This window comes from Homo sapiens, chromosome 13 (genome assembly GCF_000001405.40).
Source record: "Homo sapiens chromosome 13, GRCh38.p14 Primary Assembly".
NCBI classification, from domain to species: domain Eukaryota; kingdom Metazoa; phylum Chordata; class Mammalia; order Primates; family Hominidae; genus Homo; species Homo sapiens.
Genome location: NC_000013.11, coordinates 90702642 through 90713341, shown reverse-complemented (window position 1 = coordinate 90713341; position 10700 = coordinate 90702642). Strand labels below are relative to the sequence as shown.

Sequence of the window (10700 nt, the reverse complement as noted above, 5' to 3'; positions counted from 1 at the left end):
CTGAGTGGCACATTTGTTACAACTGATGATCCTGTATTGATATATCACTATCACCCAAAGTCCATAGTTTACATTAGTGTTCACTCTTGGTGTTGTCCATCTAATGGGTTTTAACAAATGTATAATGATGTGTATTCATCTCTATAGTATCATACATCATACGAAATAATTTTACTGCCCTAAAAATATTCTGTGCCTCACGTATTCATGCCTCCTTCCCCCTTAACTCTTGGCAAACCCTTATCTTTTTTCTTTCCCCATAGTTTTTTCTTTTAACGTTCATTTGTTTTTACATAGGATATGCATGCTTGTTTTAACAGATTTTCATATCTCCTAACAAATCTCCCTTCCTATTAAGTTTTCATATCAAAAGTTTATTTTTTTGATGCGCAATTTAATCATGCCAGGGTCATACTTAAGTGACTCTCATTGTCTCTAGTGTAAAGCCCTCATCTCGTAGTGATTTAAAACCCTTGAAAAGCATTCTGCTTACCTCTTTTCCTTCATTTCATGCAAATTACAAGTCTGAATAATATATTCCTGCCATACTAAAGTATTTAGTATGTGTACATACTTGCCTGTGTACATTTACTGATTATTTTATTTTCCCTTTTTTAGGAATACGTTTGTTCCTTTCATCATCTGAGAAAACTAAACTGATTCTTCAGGTTTTAGCATAGTGTCTCTTTCTCTCAAAGAAAGCCAGGGTAATCTGAGACCTTGAGTTTTTAGATAGAATCCTGCATTTTGCCTCCTTATGGTACAGGAACACTATGTTGAAAATAACTGCTCTCTAATTGGTCTTCTTCATTAAGCCATAGGGTCCTGGAAGGTAGGGGTTTTATTTTGTTGTTATTGTTGCTCCAGTACCTACCACAAGGCCTGGCTTTCAGAATTCCATATACACCAATTCTTCTTTGGTCTTAGTGAAATTCAAAGCAGTACTAATACAGAAACAATTAGTTTGAGTAATTTGCTTACAGAACTGATGTAAATAGTCAAGTTGCCTTCATATCTTAACATTGCTAGGTTTGGCACTGAAATAAAAATATTCCAGACTAGAACATTATTTCCTTCCTAGCAAATTACTTCTTTGCTTAAAAAACAAGGGAGATTTTTAGAAAATAGATAGAAATAAAGATCGTAGTTGTTTTATAGTGGATCTGATCGTATAGGATATTTTTTACATGTTCTCAGTCAGTCTAAGAATATTCGATGTGCTTAAATCCTAGGGTTATAATCTTTATATTTTATTTTTTGGAACTAAACATAACAATTTTTGATGTGGGTTATAAAGAAATGTAATAAATACATTAAATGTCTAATAAACTTTGCTAAGAAAATTGCTAAAATCTAACAGCTACTAGGTTTCTTAGTTAATAAGATTACTTGAAGGTTCAATCAATTCTTCTAATTCAGATATTGAAATCTCCTTGGTGCTATTGGAATGATTCTTTATAATAGTTGAGTTTCAAAAATTGAAGACATACATGGTGTATTTATCACTATTACTGGTTCTTTTTTCTTTTAACTCCATTGAAAATGTCTAGAGAGTTGACTGGATTAGTCTCCTTTTTCATGGTTCAACATCATTATACATTTAAGGTGTCTCTGTTCCTTGTATCCCCACTTATCTTTTTCTCATCTCCTTTCCCACCAAGGCTACCTTTAGAAAAAGTTTTATAAGTGCCCATAGATATGTGTACATGTGTATTTATTTTACGCAAAGTATCATATCATAGAAACATTCATTTTCTTAACTTATACTCAAAATTATTCACAAAAGTAAATATGCATCTTCTTACCTACGAAACTGCTGAAGAGTATACCATAAAATTGTATTTAACTTATCTACTTACCTGAAATACAGGAAGCTGTTCCAACTTCCCATTACTATAAACAGTGCTGCATTCATATCTTCTTTCAAACGTGAATTGCTGGGTCCTGGGAATGTGCATTCTCAATTTCTTTGAGCAATGTCAGATTGTACTCTGGATTGGCTACTTTGGTTCATACTCCTGACAGAAGAGAATGCTGGTTCCTATTGTCCACATATTCTCCAGCACTCGATACAGACACTGTTTGTAATAACAGATTTAAAAATATTTTTTAAATGCTCTGTGGCACATGACTGAGGTGTGTCTACCTAACTTATTAAAGCTCCCTTTTAGCTCTTCTCTTGTACATTTTCTCATCTACTCATACCTTAATATCTAATATGTCATGTAAGCTCATTTTAATTCTTCAAATACAAATGCATGATAATCTTCCTTAGGGTAGAAACTATATTATGTATATATATATATATATATTTTTGCCAACAGTACTTGAGACATGCACACATTTTTCTATTTGTTTTATGATTATTTCTTTTCCCTTTCTATAATTGCTGATCACCTTTGAAATAACAATTAGTGGGAATTTATTATTATCCTAATAGTAGAATAGAAAAGCAAATTTTAAAGAAGATCACCCTTAAAACTCATTACTGTTTTATTAAACTATAATTTTAAAACACACACATACACATGCACACAGGTAGAGCATGCTTTTGTCCTTGAAGAGGATAATTATTTACTTTTGTGCTCAAAAATTTCTGTACACATTTTTTCTCTTTTGTTGTTTCGTTTTATTTTTTCATGTTTGACTTTAACTTCCTACTCTATTTTTTGTTTCTCTAATCTTGTGCTGACTTAGGTTACAAATAATGGAAATGCATGTGTGGTTTCTTCTCCTATTTGGTCATTCTTGAAATAGTGGGTTTGTGTATAATAACATGCATTCTTCTTTTTCAAGGTAACCATAGAAACAAGATCTGTAGCGTACAACGAGCTTTAGAATTTAGATGATTTGAAACAAGAACAAATATACCCCCCAACACGGAAGGGAATACTCTTGACTTTATCCTTCCCCCAGTGAGTTAGGGAAGTAGGCTTTATGTACGTGATACAAAAAAAAAAAAAACATACTTCTCTAAATTATGTGAAAATGTTTTAAACCCAATAAGCATGGAAAACTTGATTGGGTGTTTTGTTGATACAAAGTGATATAGAATCAGTGACTTCAGATCAGTGATGATAAAATGTGATGTTTCAGGAAATAGAATAAATATAATACCTAAACTAAGTAATGGATCATCTTCCTAAAAGCAGTTGCCAGAAATAATTATGATATGAAACAGGTTAATTTTTATCTGCAGCTAATTGGTCCAAAAGTACTTAGGAATACATACGAAGCTTAGCCCTATACGGTCAGCCTGCCCTGCCCTTGATCTAACCAAACATTTACATTGCTACAATGGATCTATTCTGAATTAACAAAAGGAGGCTCCATTATAACTTTTACTAATCATTAACATTAGTATTGTATTTTTTGTTCTTAAAAATCTTAAATTCTGTTCAATTGGAATCCAACTGAAATCAGTCTCCCCCTTCCTTGTGTTATATTAGTCACACTGATCTTTTTTCCCCTAGAATGTATCATACTCATTTCTGGCTCAAAAATCTTCACTCTTCGCTTTGCACAGTCCACCCTCTAATTCTCTGTAAGACCTGTCTCTTCTCAGTTTTCAGCTGCTGGTTGAAATTAAGCCTAGCTACCAGAAGTTACCCCATCACCATATCTAAATAACCTCATGACCCTCATCTACACAATCATTAATTTTCTATTACATCAACTTGCTTTCATTTCATAACATTGATCACTCTCTGCTAGAATCACTTTTATGTATGCACTTATTGTCTATGTCTGTCTACTAGAATGTAAGCTCCACTAGCACAGGTTTTCTCTCTATTGACTTAAGTGTCCCATCTGCTGTTCCCACTCATAACTGCCAATTTACTCAGCTCATGGGATGGTGCCACCATCTGCGGACAGAAAGATGAAAAATAAGAGGAATTTTCCTGTGAAGAAACTCACAGACTTCACAGACTGAAGACAAAGGTAGTCAAATAAATTAATGATTATGGGATATTATTTATCCTGGGCTTACAATGGTGTTGCCAATAAAAGAAATGTATCTAAATGAAACTAGCTTGTCAAGGGAGATAGTCTGGAGCCAACTTGCATCAAATCATATTGATAAAAGGTAGAATCTCAAACTTGAAATCTTGCAAAGATGGAAGCCACAGGCAAAAGTAGTCATAGAAGGTGTATTATATTATAATACCTATTTATTCTTACACATAGTTATACTGTCAAAGCATTCACTTCTGAAATTGAAAGATTTTCCATAGGCATGGGTAGATTAAATACTGTACGAAAGAGGACATTAAATTTATATAGATATATTACAGTCATACCTTAAACTAATGTATGTATATATAAATACATAAATATAATCATTCAGGAATCTATATACAATTATATATACATACATCAAAATGTCCAAATAAATCACACTTAAAATTTAGTCTCTTTTGTATATTTACATACATCCAGAAAGTCTGTAAAATTAACTGTTTTATTTTCTTAGTAAATACACAAAAATTATGGTTCTTTTGATTAAGAAAGTAATATCCTTGAACAGCATAGTATAGATTATCTAAAAATCAATATTGCCTTTATTTAAGGTAGCATTTCCTAGTGCTGAGATTGTAGTGATATATTTTGCTGTCTCTATCTTCAAAGTTAAATTTGCAGGTTGTTCCATATGATTTCTTATTGAGTGGATTCACACTGCAAAGACATTTAGAAATTCCTTGAATCAGAACATGAAGTGTGCTTTAACTAGAAAACATTCAGGATACAGGTTTATTTTTGCTAGTGACCAGAGTTTATATTTAGATATTTGTGATCAAGAGCTCAAAACAGTTTGTGTGCTGGTGTTACAAAGCCCTGCCACCTATCATTCAAGGTAATGGCAGAAAAAGCCACACCTGCTCAGAAGCAGAAATAGCTGTGTGTGTTGTAGAAGGAGGGAAGAATGTAAGGTGTCATTCTTTCCTCTGAATGGAAGTGTAATGTGTGGCTCATCTATTCCATGAACATGACTTGTCTAGGCAACATTGCAGCCAATACAGCATATACATAAACATAAAGAAAGAGAAAGAAGACACTAAATACTGTCTTCAACCACAGAGAGCCAATGCTGTCATTCTCTGCCTTGGCATCCGCATAGAAAGAGATGAGATAGAGCAATACATACTTACAGACATGGATAATATTCACATTTAAATCAATGTAACCCACAAGGTATATATAGTTTTTTTGTTTGTGTAGATTTAGTTTTTTACTTTTCACATATTGTCGGTATATTTAAATGTAGTTTCACTAAAAGTATTTTATCTTGTAGATTTAACCTGATGTATTAAATACTGACTTACTTTTGGAAATTTAATGCTTCCAACTTTTAATATAAGTAATGTTGTCATGAATGGTTTGGGGCATACGTTTTTGAGATACATGTAATTATTCTTTTAAATACAATCACAGGAAGGAGGTTACTGGGAGAACTACTTATATTTTTAAAACTGGTAAGTACAAATAACACAATTTTGACTGATTTAGTTTATTGGGCATATCTGGCTCAGGTATCTCACTAGCTGTCATTAGAGAAAATTTAAACTTAGAGCACCGTAGCAACCAAAAAAAGTAAATAATGATCAAGTGAGAATAAGAGCCTTTAGAGTGCAGAAGAGAGACAAAAATTATCTTCAGGTTGTTCTCACTAGAAGAAAATGATAAATGTTTGAGGTGATGGATTTGCTAAATACCCTGATTTGAGAATTACACACTGTATATATGTAAGGAAACATTACACTTTACTACAAAAATATCTTTTTCACTTATGTGTCAATTAAAAGTAAAATAAAGCTTTAAACAACCTTCAGACAAATGAAAAGGAAACTACAACACACATAACTTATGGGATGTGGCAAAAGCGGTACTAAGAGGAAAACTTATAGTGATAAATGCCTACATTAAGAAAGATAAAAGATCTCAAACAAGCTAACTTTACACCTCAAGGAAATAAAAAAAGAAAAAAGCCTGAAGGTAGCAAAAAGAAGGAAAATATAGCAATTAGGGCAGAAATAAACCAAATAGAGACTAGAAGAAAAAATGCAATAGATCAATGAAATATTTGGCTTTTTTGAAAGATTAATGGAATTGACAAGTCTTTAGCTAAACTAGTGTATTAGGGTTCTCTTAGAGGGATAGAACTAACAGGAGATATATATATATATATATAGGATATATATATCCTATTATACTTGAGATATATATATTATATATTATATATATATATATAAGTTTATCAAGTATTAACTTACACTATCACAAGGTCCCACAATAGCCTGTCTACAAGCTGAGGAGCAAGGAGAGCCAGTCCAAATCCCAAAACTGAAGAATTTGGAGTCCGACGTTCGAGGGCAGGAAGCATCCAACACGGGAGAAAGATGTGGGCTGGGAGGCTGGACCTGTGTCTCTTTTTTATGTTTTCTGCCTCCTTTATATTTGCTGGAAGCTGATTAGATTGTGTTCACTGGATTAAGAGTAGGTCTGCCCTCCCCAGCCCATTGACTCAAATGTTAATCTCTTTTGGCAACACCCATACTGACACACCCAGGATTAATACTTTGTATCCTTCAATCCAGTCAAGTTGACACTCAGTATTAATCATTGCAAGTAGCTAAGAAAAACAGAAGACAAATAAAATTAGAAGTGAAAAATGAAGACATTATGACTGATGCCACAGAAATACAAAGGATCACACTAGAAAATATGAACAATTATAAACCAACAAATTTGTTAACTAGAGGAAATAAATAAATTACTAGAAATGTACAACATACAAAGACTAAAATGGGAGAGAATAGAAAATCTGATCAGGCCAATTACAAATAAGAACATTGAATCAGTAATAAATAGTCTCCCATCAAAGGAAAGCCCAGGACTGAGTGGCTTTACTGCTGAATTGTACCAAACATTTAGAGAGGACCCAATATTAACCCTTCTCAAACTTTTCTAAAAAAGTGAAGAGAACATATTCAAACTCTTGATGAGACCAGCATTACCCTAATACCAAAGCCAGGCAAGGGTGCTACAACATAAGAAAATTACAGACTATTATTACCAACAAACATAGTTGCAAAAACTGTTTAAAAATACTAGCAAACTGAATTCAACAGCACAGTAAAAACTATCATTCATGATGAAGTGGGATTTATCCCTGGGATGCAAGGATGATTCGACACACACATATCAATAGATGTCATAATTTCATAACGCCTTCATTTTGTTGAGACAGATTCCTTCAATACTTAGTTTGTTACGGTTTTTGTTTGTTTGTTTTTTGAAGGAGTCTTGCTCTGTTGTCCAGGCTGGAGTGCAGTGGCCTGATCTTGGTTCACTGCAACCTCCACCTCCTGGGTTCATGCCATTCTCCTGCCTCAGCCTCCCGAGTAGCTGGGACTATAGGCGCCCGCCACCATGCCCGGCTAAGTTTTTGTATTTTTAGTAGAGACCGGGTTTCACTGCATTAGCCAAGATGGTCTTGATCTCCTGACCTCGTGATCTGCCCACCTCAGCCTCCCAAAGTGTTGGGATTACAGGTGTGAGCCACCGTGCCCAGCCTGTTGAGTGTTTTTATCACGAAAGAGTAATAAATTTTGTCAAGTGCTTTTTTTACACCTATTGAAATGACTATAGGATTTTTATCCTTCTGTGAAGGATATACATACCTTTTCCTAACTCTAACCCTAACCCTATGCTTCCCTAACCCTAACCCTCACAGAATGAAGGAAAAAATCCTATAGTCATCTCAATAGGTGTAGAAAAAGCATTTGACAAAATTTAATACACTTTCACAATAAAAAACATTTAACAAAATAAGTATAGCAGGAATGTGTCTCAACATGATAAAGGCCACATATGACAGACCCACAGCTAACATCATACTCAACCGTGAAAAGTTAGAGCTTTTCCCCTAAGATCGGGAACAAGGCAAGGATGTCCACTCTCTCCGCTTCTATTCAACATAGTACTGGAAGTCTTAACCGAGAAATTAGGAACGAAAAAAACAAAAAGGCATTTAAGTCAGAATGGAAGGACTGTCTTTGTTTGCAGATGATATGATCTTATATATAGAAAACCCTGAAGACACCACTAGAAAAATTGTTAGATCTAATAAATAAATTCAGTAAAATTGAAGAATTCAAAATGAGCATACAAAATAATGTTGTGTCTTTTTTAACTAACAATGGACTATTCAAAAAAAATAAAGAACATGATCCCATTTACAATAGCATAAAAATACAATACTTAATAATATGCTTATCCAAGGGCTTGAAAAAATTATCCACTGAAAACTACAAAACATTGATAAAAGAAATTTTAAAAGATACAAATAAATGGAAAGGCCACCCATGTTCATGGATTGGAAGATATAATATTGTCAAAATGCCCATACTACCCACAGCAATCTACAGATTCAGCGCTGTCACCACTAAATTCCAATGCCATTATTATTTGGAAATAAATAGCAAAACAAATTCTAAAGTTTATATGGAACTACAAAAGACACAAAATAGCCAATGATCTTGAGAAAGAAGAACAAACCTGGAAGCATCACACTTCCTAATTTTAAACTATATTACAAAGCTACAGTAATTTAAAGTTTGCTGTTGACATAAAGTTGGACATATAGATTAATGCAGCTGAATAGAGAACACAGAAAAAAAACCCACTGATATACAGGCAACTGATTATTGACAAGTGTGCCAAGAAATACACAATGGGGAAAGGACAACCTCATCATCAAATGATGTTGGGAAAACTGGATAATCATATGCAAAAGAATGAAATTTGGCCCCTATTTTCCACCATCTCCAGAAGTCAACTGAAAACAGACTAAAATATAAGACATTAAATTGTATAAATTCTTTTTTTTTAATTTTTACTTTTAGACGGAGTTTTGTTCTTGTTTCCCAGGCTGGAGTGCAATGGTGCAATCTCCGCTCTCTGCAACCTACACCTCCTGGGTTCAAGCGATTCTCCTGTCTCAGCCTCATGAGTAGCTGGGATTACAGGAGCATGCCACCACCCCTGGCTAATTTTTGTATCTTTAGTAGAGACGGGGTTTCATCATATTGGTCAGACTGGTCTCAAACTCCTGACCTCAGGTGATTCACCCACTTCGGCCTCCCAAAGTGCTGGGATTACAGGCATGAGCCACCATGCCCAGCCGTATAAATTCTTAAATATATGACATCAAACTGTATAAATTCTAGAAGAAAAGAATGAGGAAAAGCTTATTGGTCTTGGCAATGATTTCTTAAATATGATCCCAAAAGCAAAGGCAACAAAAGCAAAAATACACAAGTGGGACTATGTCAAACTAAAAAGCTTCTGCACCTCAAAGGATACAATCAACAGAATGAAAAGGCAATCTGAAGAATGGGAGTAAATATTTGTAAACCATATGTATTTGATAAGGTTTTAATCTCCAAAATATTTAAGAAACTCCTCCAACTCAATAGTAAACAAGCACACAAGTAAACAAAACAAAAATCAATGCAATTAAAAAATGAACAAAGGACTTCAGTAGATATTTCTCCACAGAAGTCATAGAAGTGCTCATCAGGTATATAAAAAAACATACTCAATGATATGGTTCAGCTGTGTCCCCACCCAAATCTCACCTTGGATTGTAGTTCTCATAAATCCCACGTGTTGTGAGAGGGACCCAGTGGGAGGTAATTGAATCATGGGGGTGGTTACCCCCATGCTGCTTTTCTCATGACACTGAGTGAATTCTCATGAGAGCTGATGGTTTTATAAGGGGCTTTTCCCCCTTTTGATCAGCACGTCTCCTTGCTGCCACCATGTGAGGAAGGATGTATTTGCTTCCCTTTCTGCCATGATTGTAAGTTTCCTGAGGCCTCCCTAGCCCTGTGGAACTGTGAATCAATTAAACCTCTTTCCTTTATAAATTACCGAGTCTTGGGTATGTCTTTATTAGCAGTGTGAGAACAGGCTAATACACTCAACATTACTAATCATCAGAGAATTTCAGATTAAAACCACTAGATATCACTGCATCTCTGTTAGGATGACTATAATAAAAGTAAAAATAAAAAGTGTTGCCAAGGATGCTGAAAAATTGGGACATTTGAACACTGTAGATGTAAGTGTAAAATGAATCAGCCATTATGAGTAGCATAAAGATTTATCAAAAAAAAGTATCCTATGATCTAGCAATCCCAATTCTGGGTATATATTCAAAAGGATTGAAATCAGGATCTCAAAGACACATTTGCACTTTCATGTTCAATGCAACATTATTCACAATAGCCAAGGTAGGAAAAAAAAAACAGAAGTCCATTGACAGATTAATGGATAAAGGAAATGTGGTATCTACATAAAATGCAATATTGTTCAGCATTGAAAAAACAATGAAATCCTATTTGTGACAACATGGATAAACTTAAAGGACAATATGCTAAATGAAAGAAGCCATTCACAAAAGGACAAATACTGCATGAATCCACTTATATGAGGTGTATAAAATGCTCAGACTCATAGAAGCAGAGAATAGAATGGTGATTGCCAGCGGTCGGAAGGGGAAAGGGGAGTTGTTGGTCAATGGTGTAAAGTTTCAGTTATGCAAGATGAATAAACTCTAGAGATTTGTGTACCACATAGCACCTATAGTTAACAACATAGTATCATGCACTTAAGAAATAGGGTAGATTGCATGT

At 34.2% G+C, this 10700-nt stretch overlaps 1 long non-coding RNA gene across 1 annotated transcript in view; it reads right to left on the bottom strand.

The window, feature by feature from the left end:
- Positions 1–1865: 1865 nt before the first annotated feature.
- Positions 1866–10700, bottom strand: part of LOC107984572 (uncharacterized) — a 28043-nt gene continuing 19208 nt past the window's right edge. Inside the window, exon 3 of the long non-coding RNA XR_001750066.1 lies at positions 1866–2078. This is a non-coding gene — a long non-coding RNA (uncharacterized LOC107984572). The remainder of the gene's footprint in view (positions 2079–10700) is intronic.